Source organism: Homo sapiens, chromosome 10 (genome assembly GCF_000001405.40).
Source record: "Homo sapiens chromosome 10, GRCh38.p14 Primary Assembly".
Lineage (NCBI taxonomy): Eukaryota > Metazoa > Chordata > Mammalia > Primates > Hominidae > Homo > Homo sapiens.
In genome coordinates, this window is record NC_000010.11 from 72,047,818 (window position 1) to 72,064,480 (window position 16,663).

Sequence of the window (16,663 nt, forward strand, 5' to 3'; positions counted from 1 at the left end):
GTTAGTTCTCTGGTGGAAAACAAAGAACAACAGCAACAATAAAAGAACAAATAAAACAATGTGTCTATCTAAAGTATTTTGGGATACAGTTATACAATGCCTGGGATTTGCTTTAAAATATTCCAGCAAAGAAACAAAAAGTACATAGAGGGACCAAGATTTGTCATGAGTTGCTAATTGTTGAAGCTAGGGGTGGGTACATGAGGGGTGTTTGTTTGTTTGTTTATCTGTTTGTTTTCTGAGACGAAGTCTTGCTCTGTCACCCAGGCTAGAGTGCAGTGGTGCAATCTCAGCTCACTGCAACCTCCACCTCCCAGGTTCAAGCGACTCTCCTGCCTCAGCCTCCCGAGTAGCTGGGATTACAGGCGCATGCCACCATGCCCGGCTAATTTTTGAATTTTTAGCAGAGATGGGGTTTCACCATGTTAGCCATGGCTGATCTCAAACTCCTGACCTCAAGTGATCTGCCCACCTCGGCCCTCAAAGTGCCGGGATTACAAGCGTCAGCCACCGCACCCAGCCATGTGTCAATTTTCTTAAGTTAATTGATTGATTCATAATCAAGAAAAGTCTTCAAATGGTTATTGTTGGCTGTTCCTTTCTTTTCCCTGTAGTATTCTTTTGCTGTTTTTGAACTTGTTTTGTCTGCCAAGGGAGCAGGTATCTTTAGTGGACAAGGGGTACCAGTCATAAAAGATTAAGAGACAATTATGGAAGAGTAAATGTTAAATAGAATGAATTTTGGTCATTAGCCTAATCCCAGACCTCCCCCGATCCCATCCACTCCCTGACTTGAAAAACCTCCGTTGGATTTCCCTGGCCACCTCCTGGGCCTGGTTGCCAGAGGCGTTTTCTGACGCAATGCCTAGCACGCCCTCTGGTGGCTACTGGCAGAAGTGCATAGGTCCGTGCTGTCTTTCTGAGCTCACAGAAGCCAAGTTTTAGAGCTTCCACTAGAGGTCACAAACTGGTTGCTCTACAGGCTGAATGCGACCTATAGATGTGCTATCTATAAAGCATGAATATAGGGACCAGGTTCTTAATATGTTACCAGCATTTAAAAATCTAGATATTTTACGTACAAATCCAGATTTCTGGCTTCTTTGGAAAGCCAAGTCTGACAATGACAGGCAGAGACCCGCACTCTCCAGTTACCCGTCTGGCCTCTGTGGTTTATGTTCAGTTTCTCCAGCACACAATCCCTGTAGTGGGCGGAATAATAAGTCCCAAATATTTGTGTCCGCCAGGAACCTTGGAATGTGACCTTATTTTAGAAATAAGATCTTTACAGATGTAATTAGTAAATCACCTGAAGATAAAATCATACTGGATTTGGGGTGGGCCCTAAATCCAACAATTTATGTCTCTATAGGAAGAGGGAGAATACCAGCTGGGTGCAGTGGCTCACATCTGTTATCCCAATGCTTTGGGAGGCCGAGGAAGGAGGATTGCTTGAGGCCAGGAGTTTGGGATGAGCTTGGGCAGCATAGCAAGACCCAGTCTCTACAGAAATTTTTAAAAATTAACCAGGCTTGGTGGCTCACACCTGTAGTCCTAGCTGCTCAGGAGGTTGAGGCAGGAGGGTCACTTGAGCCCAGGAATTTGAGGTTACAGTGAGCTATGATCATACCGCTGCACTCCAGCCTGGGCCACAGAATGAGACCCTGTCTCAAAAAAAAAAAAAAAAAAAAGAAGAAGAAAGAAAAAGAAGAAGAAGGAGGACAAGAAGAAGGATAAGGAGAAAGAGGAGAAGAAGAAGAATGAGGAAGACGAGGAAGATAGACAGGCACAGAGGAGAAGGCCATATGGAAATGGAGACAGCCTAGAGTGAGGCATCTGCAGGTCCAGGAATGCAAGGATGGCTGGCAAACACAGAAGCTGGGGACAGGCCTGGCACAGATCCTCCCCAAGAACTTCAAGAAGGAGCCAACCCCACTGACACCTTGAGTTTGAACTTTTGGCTGCCAGAACTGTGGAAGAATAAATTTGTGTTGTTTTAAACCACCCAGTGTATGGTCATTTCTCATGACAGCCCTAGAAAACCAACATGCAATCCCCAGGAAACCCTTGCCCTTCTACAACATCCCGCAAACAGGCCTCTGCTCTAAAGCCTCAAGGGAGGGAGAGCTCACATCTCCCAGCTGAGTGATGGACTAATCATTGGAAAGTTCTTTCTGCTAAACCGGTACACAACACAAACAACACAAAATCAGGCTAGAGTCTATAAAAAGTGGGGGGAAGTGTACCTGGAAAACACTGAAAAAAAGTGGGTTGAAACAAGATCATAAAAAGAAAGAAACCCTGCTGGTAGTGGGATCAGGGAGGGCTTCATGGAAGAGGTGGCACCTGAACTGGGCTTCAAGGATGGCTATGACAAGACAAGCAGAAACTGGTGGGAGTGCAAGGCATATTCCAGGCGATAGAGCAGTGAAAGACCCAGAGGAGGAACGTGTGGGTCATGCACAGTAACATTCATCCATCCCTTCCTTGAATATTTCTTCACCAAGCAGTGAGCAATGAGCTTAGTTGGATGAAGTTATGTGGCCAAGTGGGGTCAGTAGGTTGAAATGAAACAGCAGAGTCTAAATCTTTACAAAATCCTGGGTCCCCAAGCATGCTAAATAAAGAATTTGACATTTACACACCTCCCCAGGGGTTTTCCTTCAAGCTATTTCACTCACCTCTTGTATAGAGAGGGCTGTTGGTTTTGTGTCTTTCCAGGGTCCCTTCCCCTGGTAATAGACCCATGCCCTGGAGGCAAGCATGGGCACATGACTGGCCCAGACCTGGCCAATCACTGCATTCCATCCACCTGGCAACAGTAACGGATCCAATCAGGGTCCTTCCCTGGGATTAATATGCAGATTTCGGGTGCAACCAGCTCTCTCTGTCTGCTGGGGCAGTCTTGTTCCCTGCTACATGGAGACAGCCCATCAGGAGTCAGACAGAATGAGGCCAACAGGTGAAAAGAAACAGTAAAGCAAAGACGGTCAGCATGGAGGAGCCCTGGGGTGCTGAACTCACAGTTGCCATCCCCAAAGACCTGGTTCCTCAAATTCTTCCTTCAATTCCAAGACTTGCTGCAGGATCCCCATCTTCTGTGAGAGCCAATACATTATTTCTCTGTCTAAGCCAGTCAGAGTTAGGTAGGTGTCTGTCACTTGCAACCAAAGGCTCTTGGCTGGTACAGTCCTGTTTCTAAAACCCTGCCCCTGCTGACCAAGCAACCAGTGAAAGCAAAGGGAGACGGTGCCCATCCTGGCAGCAGCCCTCTCTCCGGTTCAGACAGGTCACTCCAGGGCACTTTCTGATGGGTGCTTAGTGCTGAAAAGGGTGACGCTGAAAAAGCACAGGGATGTGAATTGAAGTCAATTATGAATAGGGTAAGAGAAGATAACAAATCAGACTCTCTCCAAAGGACACACATGCCCACCCTCAGTCATTCCTTTGGATTACAGTTCTCTTTGAAATATAAGCTGGGACAAAAGTTCAAGAGGCAGAAAGTAGGCCAATTTGCCAAAATACCAAAATACCTTAGATGCAGCCACCAAATTTACTGGTGCAAATTTTGTAAATCAAAATTACTAAAAACTTGTTTTTTTAACTAAATATAACATTTTCAGAAATTCATGTAAAGTGTTGACATTTTGGTTTCCAACAAGAAGCAGCTGGGATATGTTGGCTTGGAAAAAATTTACAGAAAGATTCTAAAGGGAAAAGTAAAATTGTTTAAAGTAACTGAAGAGAAATGAATCTCCAACGGTGAGAAAAAGTACTAAGAGTGCTCTTAGATGTTTTATTTTATTTTATTTTTTATTTATTTATTTTTTGTGACAGGGTCTTGCTCTGTCACCCAGGCTGTAGTGCAGTGGCACAATCTCGGCTCACTGCAACCTCCACCTCCAGGGTTCAAGCAATTATCTTGCCTCAGCCTCCCAAGTAGTAGGGACTACAGGCCCATGCCACCACTCCCAGCTAATTTTTTGTATATTTTTGGTAGAGATGGGGTTTCACCACGTTGGCCAGGCTGGTAGATGTTTTAGACATGGATGATATTCAAATGACAAGTAGAGAAGGTAGCCTAAGGGTGATGTCAGGGCTGAATTGGGTCAAGATCATTCATTCATGCATTCATTTCAATGTATGTCCTGGTTACCCACGAGGCCCAGGCCTCAAGGATACAGATGTGACAAGACATGCCAAAGAACTTGGCAGGAAGCGCTTCAGGGAGTCAAGAAGATGCAACCCAGTTCTATATCCTTATAGATATATCGTATATCTAGCCCAGGGCAGGGTAGAGGCCTGTGCAAGGCCATCAAGGAGCAGAGGCAGCCTAGTTCTCTCTGCCTGCGGAGGTCAGGGAAGTCATGACATTTGAGCTGGGTTAATTTTTTTTTTTTTTTTTGAGACGGAATCTTACTCTGTCACCCAAGCTGGAGTGCAGTGGCGCTATCTCAGTCCACTGCAGCCTCTGCCTCCTGGGTCCAAGCGATTCTCCTGCCTCAGCCTCCTGAGTAGCTGGGATTACAGGCACCTGCCACCATGCCAGGCTAATGTTCTTGTATTTTTAGTAGAGATGGGGTTTCGCCATGTTGCCCAGGCTGGTATTGAATCAAGCGATCCACCTGCCTCAGCCTCCCAAAGTGTTGGGATTACAGGCATGAGCCACCACACCAGGCCAGTTTTATTTTTTTTTTAAGAGAAAGGGTTCCCTATGTTGCCTAGGCTGGTCTTGAACTCCTGGGCTCAAGTGATCCTCCTGCCTCAGCCTCCCAAGTAGCTGAGACTACAGACATGCACCACTGCACCTGGCTTGGCCTGGGTTTTGAAGGATGTGTAGGAAAGTAAAGAAAGGAGTGGTGAACATTTTCAGGCAGTGGGGGCAGCCCTAAGCAAAAGATTGTAAGGCACAGAGGGTAGAGGGAAAAGGGAGGACAATGAGGCTGATGACAAGGGTGAGGACCAATTCTCCAGGCTTTCAAAAGGTGAAGGAACTTGACTTTCACCCTGTGGGTAGTAGGGAGTCATTGAGGGTTTTATGTAGAGGAAAGACCCCACCTCACCCATCTCCATGGTAGTTATGACAAAAGTGGACGAGGAGCGCTAGAAAGGAAGGAGCTAGAAGCCCAGTTTGCCAGCTGCTGCAACTGTCCAAGTGACAGGTGATCAGGGCTAAGCTGGGGAATGCACTCATTCAGCAGGTATTGATGAATCTGTACCCAACTAGAAGGCAGACTTTAGCCTGGACAGTTCAGCCCCAACTATTTCTCCAGTCTTCATTTGAATCCTTTCCTGCCTCCCAGCCATAGCACGCACAAGGTCTGCAGCACCCTCTGCACACGGTGTGCACCCAGCAGACCACCACCATTCCCAGCCCTCCCTACTGTCACACAGGCCCCGTCACCCCTTCACAAAGAGTTTGCAACCCTTGGGAAAGCACCTTCCTGCCCCGAGAAAAATCACACTGAGACACGTGTTCTTGTGTCTTTTTTATTGGACTGTGGGCTTCCTAAGGCAGGCCGGGCACTATTTCCCTCTGTATCCTCTTTTGCACCACCTAACTCAATTTCTCCAAGCCTGATAAGCAAAGAGCCTTGCATACAGCAAGGGTGCAATAAACCCAGCCAAGTGGACATCCCATCTCCAAGGGTCAAGGCCGGATGGTGTAGCTCTAAGGAAGGGGCAGACCAAATGAGCTTTGACATCTCTGGGATTTGATGATCCCAGGATTCTGAATCCAAGAATCTGGGGTTGAACGGGCTCCTTGGAGCCCAGTGTGTGAGCAGAGGGAGAGGACAAGGAACAAAACCAAAGAGATCCAAGTTCAGTGGAGTCCCAAGCCTGCTGGGAACAATGCTGGAGAAGGGGTGCAGGGAGAGAAAGGTAGGAGCCCACGTCTCCCTAGCTGCCCTCTAACTGCTGCAGGATAGGCCGTCACCTGCCCATCAGCAGCTCAGCAAGTGAACAGGCCCTCTCAGCCCTGGCCCAGGGGTCTTGCGTCTCCTGATGGGGGCCCCTCCAGGGTGATCCTGGGGGTCCTGGGGCAACTTCATGTTGAACAGCTGGGCGTTGCCAGGCCCCAGGCTGGCCCTCCAGGACAAGGGGAGTGTTGGAGGACCTGGCTGGAGCTAGCTGCCTGGCAGAGTCAGGGAGGAGGCTGGGGCTGCGGAGGAGGAGAGGTTGCCCCACTGAGCGCAGCCTCTGTTGGTGTCACTGACTGTGATATCGTGATATAAGAAGAAATATGTATTTGGTCTTTGCCCTCAGTTCCTGACCCAGAGCCCAAAACCTTTGTAATTTCCTGAGTGATAGGAACTTCTGACACAGAGCTCTGAAATCCCTTGGAATTTCTGGAGTGATAGGAGCATCTTTTGTTCCAATGAGGTGACTCCTGGGGGGCTCCTGGATACCCTCAGGATAAGGACTGGCTGCCAGGGGAACCAACTACCCCCAACCGCTGGGGAAGGGAGAGGGGCCAAAGGTTGAGGCGATCACCAGTGGCCAGTGATTTCATCAGTCATGCCTACATAATGAAGCCTCCATAGAAACCCAAAAAGACAGGGTTTGGAGAGCTTCCTGACAGCTGAACACATGGAGGTTCCTGGAGGGTGGTGCCCATGGAGGGCATGGAGGCTCCACGTCCCTTCCCACCCACCTCACCCTATGCATCTCTTCCATCGGGCTGTTCATCTGTGTCCTCTGAAATATCCTTCACCATAAATGGGTAAAGGTGTCTCCCTCAGTTCTGCAAGGCTCTAGCAAATTAACTGAACCTGAGGAGGGAGTATGAGAACCCTGATCTGTAGCCCATAGGTCAGAAGCACAGGTCAGAACCTGGGGCTGGTGACGGGCATCTGAGGTGGGGGCAGACTTGTGGGACTGAGCCCTTTTTAAAATTGCTAAATTCATTTTAATTTTTTTTAGACAGGGTCCCACTCTCTTGCCCAGGCTGGAGTGCAGTGGTATAATTATGGCTCACTGCAGCCTTGACCTCCCAGGCTCAAGCAATCCTCCAGCCTCAGCCTCCCAAGTAACTGGGACTGTAGGTGCATGCCACCTCATCTGACTAATTGTTTTGCTTTTTTGTAGAGATTGGGTCTTACTCTGTTGCCCAGACTGGTCTCAAATTCCTGGCCTCAAGACATCCTCCCATTTTGGCCTCCCAGTTCGCCACTGTGCCTGGTGGGACTGAGCCCTGACCTGCACGATGTGTCACTCTCTCCAGGCAGTGTAGGAATTGAATTGAATGTGGGACAGCTAAGTGGTGTCCCCTGGAGAACAACTTGGTGTGTAGAGAAAAATCCCCACACATTTTGGTGACCAAAGGGGAAGTATTGTGTGTTGACAGAGTGAGAGTAGAAGAGAAAAAAATAGTTTCGCTTTTTTTCCCCCTCAGATAGACTATAAAGGAGATTGAGGCCAGGCACGGTGGCTCATGCCTGTAATCCCAGCACTTTGGGAGGCCAAGGCGGGTGGATCACTTGAGGTCAGGAATTCTAGACCAGCCTGGACAACATAGTGAAACCCCATCTATACTAAAAATACAAAAAAAAATTAGCTGGGTATTGTGGTGTGCACCTATAATCCCAGCTACTTGGGAGGCTGAAGCAGGAGAATCGCTTGAACCCGGGAGGCGGAGGTTGCAGTGAGCTGAGATCACGCCATTGCACTCCAGCCTGGGCGACAGAGTGAGACTCTGTCTCAAGAACAAATAAATAAATAAATAAAATTAAAATAAGGAGATTGAGAGGAGATAGTGCAGGGAGGGGCCTCCTTCCCCACCAGCGCCAGGGAAGCAAATATTCCTGGGAGACTTGGAAGGCATCCACCCTCCCCTCTACTGGCATGGCTGGAATCAGAAGAGGATGGGCAGCGGGAGCAGGAGCTTGACCTCAAGGGTCAGCCCAGCTTTCTCTAGAGGCTGACCCATCCCACAGGGGTGCATCAAGGATGCCCACCCTTCCAGAGAAACAGTGGCAGAGTCACACCAAATGTGCAATGTGAGAGAGAGAGAGAGAGAGAGAGAAAGCAAGACAATCCCGAACCTAACAAGACATTTTCTGGACTCGTACCTGTGCATGTTTTTTGTTTTTTTGTTTGTTTGTTTGTTTGCCTGTGCACGTTTTCACAGACTCACAACACTGGACAACTGAGTCCAATCCCCTCATCTTACAGATGGGGAAACTGAGGCCCATGGAGAGGTGCTGACCCAAGTTCAGAAGCAGGTCCTGGAAGAATCTCCATGTCTTACCTTCTTCTGTACTTCCCCAGTACCCACGCTCCCATCCACATTCAACCATGACTTACTGATGAAAACACAGGATTTTCCACCTTGGGCATTATCTCAGTGCGGGAGGCATGCCAGGAGTGGCTACAGCCCTGGGCAGCTGAACTTGCAGTGAGCCAGGCCTGGAGCAACACCAAGGCTCCACCACACACCCCTGCCTGAGCCAAGGTCAGCCCTGGGAAACAGAGTCTTCTCATCCATAAATGGGTCTGAGTGGCTGGTGATCCCTGCCTCGTGGAGTTGCTGAGGGGATTCAACAGCAGACGCAGCCTGGACTGGCTCACGCTTGTGATCCCAGCACTTTGGGAGGCTGAGCCCAGGAGTTCGAGACCAGCCTGGGCAACATAGCAAGACCCCCATCTCTACAAAAAGTTTAACAATTAGCTGGGCATGGTAGCACACACCTGTAGTTCCAGCTACTAGGGAGGCTGAGGTGGGAGGATTACTTGTGCCCAGAAGTCTGAGGTTACTGTGAGCTATGATCTCACCACTGCACTCCAGCCTAGGTAACAGAGTGAGAAACCTTCTCTGAATAATAATAATAATAATAATAATAATAATAATAATAATAATGTAAAGGACATAGGGCATTGAAGGGAACATAGAAATGTTTGTTTTTTCCTCTCCTCTCCCTCACCTATTTTGCTCAAAATATAAAAAGTTCTGGTTTTTGTTTGTTTTTGGTCAAATACACCCCCTCACCTCTCTGAGCTCTCCACAAAGGTGGCGGGTGGGAGGGAAATGCTGCCTGTAGGACTCTGTGTGCAGTCTGGGTTTTTTCTTTCAGATTTGTTCCCAGGACCCAGTTATTCACCGGAGAGAAGTCAATACATAGACCCTGTTCCCAGGAGGCTAAATGCTGAGGGAAAGCAAGGTGCCAGGATGCGGTGGGCACATGGGGAGGCCTGGTTGAGGACGGTGCTGTGCCCAGGGAGGGGGTGGGCAGGGGGTTCCCACGCATCTGGGCTCCAGCAATGGTTTCCCGAACGGCCGCAGCCACGTCTGTACTGCAGGTTGACACCTGGGCCTGTCCCCGGCAATGCTCTGTTTGCTGTTGGGCCAAGGAACCCTGGGAACCCAGGTTGACAGGACATGGTGACAATGGAAGGATTGTTCCAGAAGCCGGGGCCCTGGCTGGCCTCTGGCTTCCCGTCACCTGAGCAAATGTCAATCCGCCAGGTACAAAAGCCAACATTTCCCTGACGGTTGAAGACGCTCATTCAGAAGGCCTCCCCCTCAGCAGGCTGCAGGCTCCTCCTAGCCACTCCGAATCCGAAACCGCTGTTCTCATCACCATCCCTTTCATCCTACATGCTGGGAGCAGCCCCTTGGCAAACCCCATCGCTCCTCACGCCACCTTCCAGAAAGCTCCTGAGCCTCCAAGTCTGAGCTTGCTGGTGGCATTGAGACACAATGAATGGCAGAAAAGCTCCCTTCCTAAGGAGTCGTTCCAGCCAGACGGGCAGAGCGTGCCCTGGCTGCAGGCTGGCACCGGGGGCTTTCGCTGTTTGGAAAGCACGGGGGCTGGTTACCACAGGTGATCCATCCAGCAGATCCTGGCCCAAGGCCACAGTTAGCAAGCTCCAGGGCTAGAGATTAGAGCTCCTGTGCCCAGATTCCATCCCCCTCCACACCGCAAACAATTTGTTAAAAGACACGTCTAGTGAGGGGTTGGCAAGGCCCAAGAGAAGAAAAGTCACAGAATAATGACGACAGTCCCCCAGCTCAGATAATCCCAGAAATAAAAGTAAGACATTTAGGTATTCTTCTGCCACACTGGCCAGGCGTGGTGGCTCATGCTTGTAATCCCAGGACTTTGGGAGGCCAAGGTGGGCAGATCAGCCTGGCCAACAGAGTGAAACCCTGTCTCTACTAAAAATACAGAAATTAGCCGGGTATGGTGGCACACACCTGTAGTCCCAGCTACTTGGGCAGCTGAGGCAGGAGAATCGCTTGAAGTGGGGAGACGGAGGTTGCAGTGAGCCGAGACTGCACCACTGCATTCCAGCCTGAGCAACAGAGCAAGACTGTCTCAAAAAAAATAATAAAAAATAAAAATACATAAAAAAATAGAATCATGGGCCGGGCATGGTGGCTCACGCCTGTAATCCCAGCACTTTGGGAGGCCAGCACGGGAGGATCACTAGAGGTCAGGAGTTCGAGACCAGCCTGGCCAACATGGTGAAACCCCGTCTCTACTTAAAATACAAAATTAGTCAGGCATGGTGGCGGGTGCCTGTAGTCCCAGCTACTTGGGAGACTGAGGCAGGATAATCACTTGAACCTGGGAGGTGGGGTGGCAGTGAGCCAAAATCGTGCCACTGCACTCCAGCCTGGGCGACAAAGCGAGACTCTGTCTCAAAAAAAAATTTAAAAATTAGAATCATAATGCTAACAAGCATGTAAGGGCCCGATACATACTCCACTAGCGGCGCTGTCTCAACTGGTTTTACCTTTCTCACAAGCCGTTTGCTAAGAGGTGGTTGAAGTCTTTGAAAAGCTCATACCCTGGATGAAAATGCTCTGGAGTTGGATTGTGGTGACGGCTGTATGACACTGCGAACGTACTAAATGCCACTGAATTGTACTGTACTGTATTTTTATCTTTTAAGAGATAGTCTCCCTCTGTTGCCCAGGCTGGAATGCAGTGGCACGACCATAGCTCACTGCAGCCTCAACCTCCTAGGCTCAAGCAATCCTTAGCCTCACCCACTGCCCCTCCTTCTCAGCCTAATTTTTTTGTTTTGATAGATACGGGGTCTCACTATGTTGCCTAGGCCAGTCTCAAACTCCTGGGCTCAAGGGATTGTCCTGCCTCAGCCTCCCAAAGTGCTGGGATTATAGGTGTGAGCCACCACGCTCAGCCATAAATGCTGTTTTCGTGAAAAATAATACCAAGGGTAAGAATAATCAGAGTATTGCCAGCAGATGGTGTTTATAAAGTTTTTATTTTCCATTTTCTTAAAAATAACATTTGATTTCCTTTATGCATGTGTGGAGTGTACTTGTTTCCTTAGGCTGAGTAATAGGCAGATAAAGACGACACGAGGCAGGGTCCCCAAGTGGAGGCGGGGCGGGACGTGAGAGGATGGGGGCGCAGGGGAAAGGCAGGGCTGGATGACTCACGGGACTCTTGAGTGCCCATCAACGCACACGCACACAGTCTAACACTTTGTTTTTCAATTTTTTAAAAGACATCTAAAATTACTGAGAGATACAATTTCAGCAGTTAAATCTACAGACGGAAATCCAAGCACTTGAACACAATTCCTAACTCTAAGCTCAGTTATTGCACATCACACAGTTTAAGCAGGCTTCAGGCTGGAAAGCAGTTTGCTCTGCTGGGAACTTCCTCGGGATGTCTGGGTCTCCTTCTGTGGTGTCTCTCCCCTGGGACTGCCGCCAGCCCGCAGCCTCTCGACGACCCCAGGTATCAAAGCTCAGCCATTTGTTCTCCCCAGGGGCTGAGGGCTCGGGCTTTGGTGAAGCAGAGGGTCCCCGTGTTGATGCCAACGGACCCCACCCCCTCCAAAGTGAAGTTGGAAGCAGGTGAAGCTCATGGAAGGCTGAAGGCAGGCGGGCTGGAGTGAAGGGGGGTGACCACCCCCCACGTGTGGGACAACAGGGGGCAGTCAAGATGCCGCCACCCACCACCCCTCCCTTCCAAGCTCCCAGGCCATGCTTCCTTCTCCATCACCCTTGGACCCTCTCTGAGTGGTCTCTCAAGGCACATTTATTTTCTCTGCTGCAACCTACCAGATCTGACATCCACCTCCCCCAGCACCCATGGGCCAAGGAGGCCTGGGGCAGCCAAGGGGAGTTCCAGGACCAAGCAAGCAAGAAACCGTTCTTTGAACACATGGTTAAGCTTCTTCCAGCATGGCCCTAATTCCCCTACCTGCCTAAGCCAGGGGAGTGGGGGCAGGAAGGAGCGAGGCATCGAGGAGAGGGCACTGGAGGGGCTGGGTGGCAGGCCCCTTGGTCAAGGTCACAAATCAAGGAGCTGAGGAAGGACCGATCTGCAACCTTGCTCATGAGGAAACCTTAACCTTGTCTAACAAAAAGCCACTTTGAGGCCGCCCTTCAGCTCCACAGGGAGCTGCTGTTTTGTCTACCTTTTGAGGGGACCAGTCTCAGTAGGGCGAAAGGCAGTGTGGGGGCTTCGGAAACAGGCAAGGCTGGACCCCTGCAATCCTACCAGAGGCTAGTTCAGTCCCTTTTGCTTTCTTCCTAAAACATATTTACAAGGACACACAAACGTGCACAGCCAGAAGACCCAGAGACAGAGAGAGCACGTGTCCCAGGAGCGGAGGGTGACATCAAGAGGACAGGGGACACCCTTCCTCTGAACTCCTTCCTTCCCCAGGCCCCCCAGCATCCTTAACAACCCCCACCCCCACCCCGAGGAGGAAAGTTCCAGAACTCCAGCTGGGACAAATGGAAGAGATAGGTAGACTCCAATCCTAGCAAGAGCAGAAGTTTCAAGTAGCTCCGAGTCAGAGGCGCGGCTGCCTCAGAGAGCAGAGGGCTGATGTGGAACAGCATTTCCCTGAACTGAGCCGGGGCTGGAGTGGGGAGGTGAAGGACAGAGAGAGGACAGGAGAAAGAGGGGACTGGGGGACCTGGAACGACGCGACACCTCAACAATCAGAACTGGGCTGCGGAATGGGAAGCAGTTTATGGAGTTAAGTGGGGCTCTGCTATTTCCCCCAAGAAGGACTCGGAAGATGTTGATTCCAGGGCAGAGTGAGGGGCAGACAGGATGAGGCTCTTCTGTAAAGTCCAACAGACGCTCACAGATGCTGGGAGGCTGGGGACTGCCAGGTTGGGAGCCTCACCCAGAGAGCCTCACTGCATTGACCCCACACCCACCACTCACCCAGCACACAGGGGGCCTCTCCTCACGCTCCCAGGCCACCAGGATGGCCCCCAGGTTCACACACAGGCACACGCACACACGCTGCACTCACCACGCACTGAAGGGCATCACAGCCCCAAGTCTGGGTAAGAAATTCTCCACCAAAGGTGTTAAGGAATTTGCTTTGCTGAGGAGAACTGGATGGGTGGGGGAAAACAGCAACAAACAAACAAAAGAAATGCACAGGGCCTCTTCTCATCTGGTGAGATGAGCTCACACTGCTCAGGGGATGTTGGGGAACAGCGAGGTGTGAGGTGTGGCCTCAGAGCCCGGCTGCACCTGTCCTGTTCCCTCTGACTTCTCACTTTTCCACATTGCAGGCTTCAAAACAGAGCTTGGGGAAGCCCCTCTGCGGGGCAGCCCTAGGGAATCCTCAGAGGGGCCAGAAGGAAGCCCTGGGGGCTGAGGGAAGTGGGGCTGGACATGGCCTGTGGGTGGCTCTCCCCTGGCAGGAGGAAGATCATGGTCTCAGAGTGCGGAAAGGCTGCAGCTTTCGGCAGCTGCTTCTCTCCGGGGTCTCAGGGACAGCTCTCTCTGTTGGTCTGGGCAGGACAGGAGTGTTAAGGGTCAGGGAGGAGGTGGGCACACACCCCCTTAGCCTAGACCCAGGCTCCTTGCCTGCTGCTCCTGGCCCTCAGGCGCCCTCAAGTGGATGAGGGGACCCCAGCAAGGGGGATGGAGGCAGGAGTTGCACCAAGGGGGAGCCAGGCAGAGGTCAACTGTGTAACCACCACCCAGTGTCCCCAAGAGAGCAGCCCAGATCATGGCTCCACCACGAGACCCAGAGAAAAGGGACAGGCTATTCCAGGGTCTAGGATTCAGAGCTGCCCCATCTCAACACCTAAAAGCTCCCCCAGGCTCTGCAGCCACAGCCTCCTCCTGCTGAGCCGACCCCCTCTCCTCACCCTGTTCTACCTGCACCACCTGGGCCACCTGGGACAGACCTCAGACAGCTTGGCGAGGCACCCTGTCCCTGGCCTCTCAGCTGCTGCCCTCCTCCTCTGCCGCCACCACCTTCATTCTCCGCCTTGGGTTAGGAGAGCTTCTCTAGTGTTTGGGGATCCGGCAAAGGGACAGGGCTTGCTGTGGCTGGGCGTCCTGGCCCGTCTCATCTGAGGCTGGTGGGGATGTCACACCACATCGGCCCAGTTTTGGGAGGACCTCAGCTGGTAGACAGCTCCCTGCCCCTCCCTCCCCTTTGCAATGGGGACAGGCTCGCAGGCCAGAGCTTGACCTCAGAAGCAAGAGGGAGAAGGGCAGACAGGGGTCGGTTGAGCCAGGGTAGAAACCAAGGGGAGCCAGGGTAGAAACCAAGGGGTCAGGGCTGGGCTGGAGGACACGGCTGGGGGATCTCATTTCATGGATTTTGACCTGTCAATTTGTATTTGTGTGTGAATGTATTTTAAAACCAACAACAAAAGGAAAGAAAACAGCTACAAGGAGGCCGAAGGGGCCTTTGGGTGACTCACTCTGCCAGGAGCAGTGTGGATCAAGGACACATTTGTCAGCGCATGCCACACACACACACACATACACACATGCATGCACACATGCACTCACACTGTCACCCGTCCCAGCCATCTGTGCCACACACATGCCATGCACACTCACACTCCCAGTCCCCCCAGGTGGAGCAGGGTCCTTCTGACTGCATTTCTGGATCCGTTCTCGAAGTTGCCTGCTGCTGCTCAGAGCTCTGCTGTTGAGTCCCCCCCGGCAGCCGGCTCCTGAGGGCGTCTACCAGATGTAGCCCCCGTCGTCAGCCTCGCCTGCCTCGCCCTCCTCCTCCTCGGCCTCCTCGCCTGCTTCCTCCGTCTCCTTCTCCTCCTCATCCTCCCAGCCGACACCGCTTCCAAAGTCCCCCGAGAAGCCCACGATGTCATCTGTGAGGGGATCAAGCCAACAGGGGGTGAGGGAGCTTCTGGCACGCACCCCCCAGCATCCCACGACAAGGGCCCCCAGGCCTGGGCCCCCAGCAGGCCCTGAGCTGCCCAGCCCGTACCGCAGTCGGGGCTCCCATGCGTGCGCGTGCCAGTCAGCTCCAGGCCCAGCTGGTCCACACACCAGCAGTCACCGCTGCTCTGGTCACACTGCATCTTCCGGTAGTAGCCATCCTCGTCGCAGCTCGGGATGAAGATGCCTGAATGAGACAGTGCCAGGCAGGGTCAGAGCAGGGGCCCAGGCTGTGGGCCCCTCAGAGAGGTGACCTCAGGTCCTCATGCATGAGCAGAAGTCTATACACCCCCAGAGCCCAGCCAGACCGGGTGCTGACCCCCCAACAGGCCCAGATGCTGAGAGCTGGACACCAGCCAGCAATTCTTTCGGCTCTACTCGCTGGAGATGAGGAAACCCGCTTCCTTGAACCACTGCTCAGGCCCCTGTGCTAGCTCCCAGCCGCCCCATCAGTTTCCCTGACTCCATGGCCCAAGTCTTCTAGGACAGCCAGTCTGACTTCACCAGGTTTGACACTCTCCATCCTCCCACAGTTCCGCCGGCCTGGCTGTCCCCTGCTAGGAAGGCCCAGCCTTCTCCTCCCAGCCACTCTGAGTCCGACCTGCCTCCGGGGCCCACTTGCTTTCCTGCAGGCTCCCCAGCTGAAGCTCCCAGGCGCCTGTGTACAGGTCACACTGCTAGTTCTGTCTTTTTAGTGTGTCCATTTGTGTGTTGTGTGTTTCCGGACTGGCCCGAGCTAAAGGGTTATGAGGCCAGGGAGTGCATCCTTCTTGCCATCCGCTCAGAGTTGGGCTGGGTCTATTGCTGTTGTATCTCTGGGGCCGGCCCCCAGGTGTTTATGGAGCATGTGAGTGAGTGTCACTCAGGGAGTGGCCTCACTAAAACATTAGTCACACCCTTGCTGAAGGAAACTGAACTCAGTGGAGGGTTCCAGGATCCTTCTGTATCCCAAACTCTAGCTCCAGCATGGATGGGCATAAAATTAGTGCCTAAAACACACTTTTCCCGGGGCAGATTGGGAGTCCCTGCCCCACCACAAGGATAGACACAGGAAGGGGGCAACCCTCTTCTGTCTTCCTAGGCCAGGGCCTCCTCTGGGCTCCATGTCTGCCATGAGGCCCAAGGCTGGAGGCCCTGGGTCTCAGACAAACCCAGGAAGCCGTCCCCACCTCCTCCTCTGAGAGCCTGGTCTGGCCCCTCACCTGGCTTCTTCTTGGCGGCCTCCTGGATCTGGATGCGCTCCAGCTCTGCCAGGCAGGGGGGCTCTGTGGGGAGAGAAGCAGCCTCTGATGGGACTGTCCCCTGGTGCTGGGGGGATGCACTGAGCCCTTCAAGGCTTAGAGACCCAGGCAGGGGCTCTGCAAGATGAAAACACCCCGTTTCTGACACGGGGTCACCCCACAGCAGGGGTGGGAAGTACAAGGGTTCTATGGCACGAAAACGCTCACTCTCTATTTAGGGGAGCTCATTCCACAGCTGTGGATGACCTGAGGTCCCCAAGAAGT

General features: G+C 52.1%; 1 protein-coding gene across 2 annotated transcripts in view; it reads right to left on the reverse strand.

Annotated features, from left to right (window-relative positions):
- Positions 1-11,216: 11,216 nt before the first annotated feature.
- The window catches only part of SPOCK2 (SPARC (osteonectin), cwcv and kazal like domains proteoglycan 2), a 29,999-nt gene continuing 24,552 nt past the window's right edge, over positions 11,217-16,663 (reverse strand). For both annotated transcript variants that reach the window (NM_014767.2, NM_001244950.2), the window contains 3 exons: positions 16,361-16,423; positions 15,208-15,345; positions 11,217-15,088 (listed from right to left, as the gene is read on the reverse strand). In NM_014767.2, coding sequence (NP_055582.1) covers positions 14,943-15,088; positions 15,208-15,345; positions 16,361-16,423 — 347 coding nt within the window. In that variant the 3' untranslated portion in view covers positions 11,217-14,942. The remainder of the gene's footprint in view (positions 15,089-15,207; positions 15,346-16,360; positions 16,424-16,663) is intronic.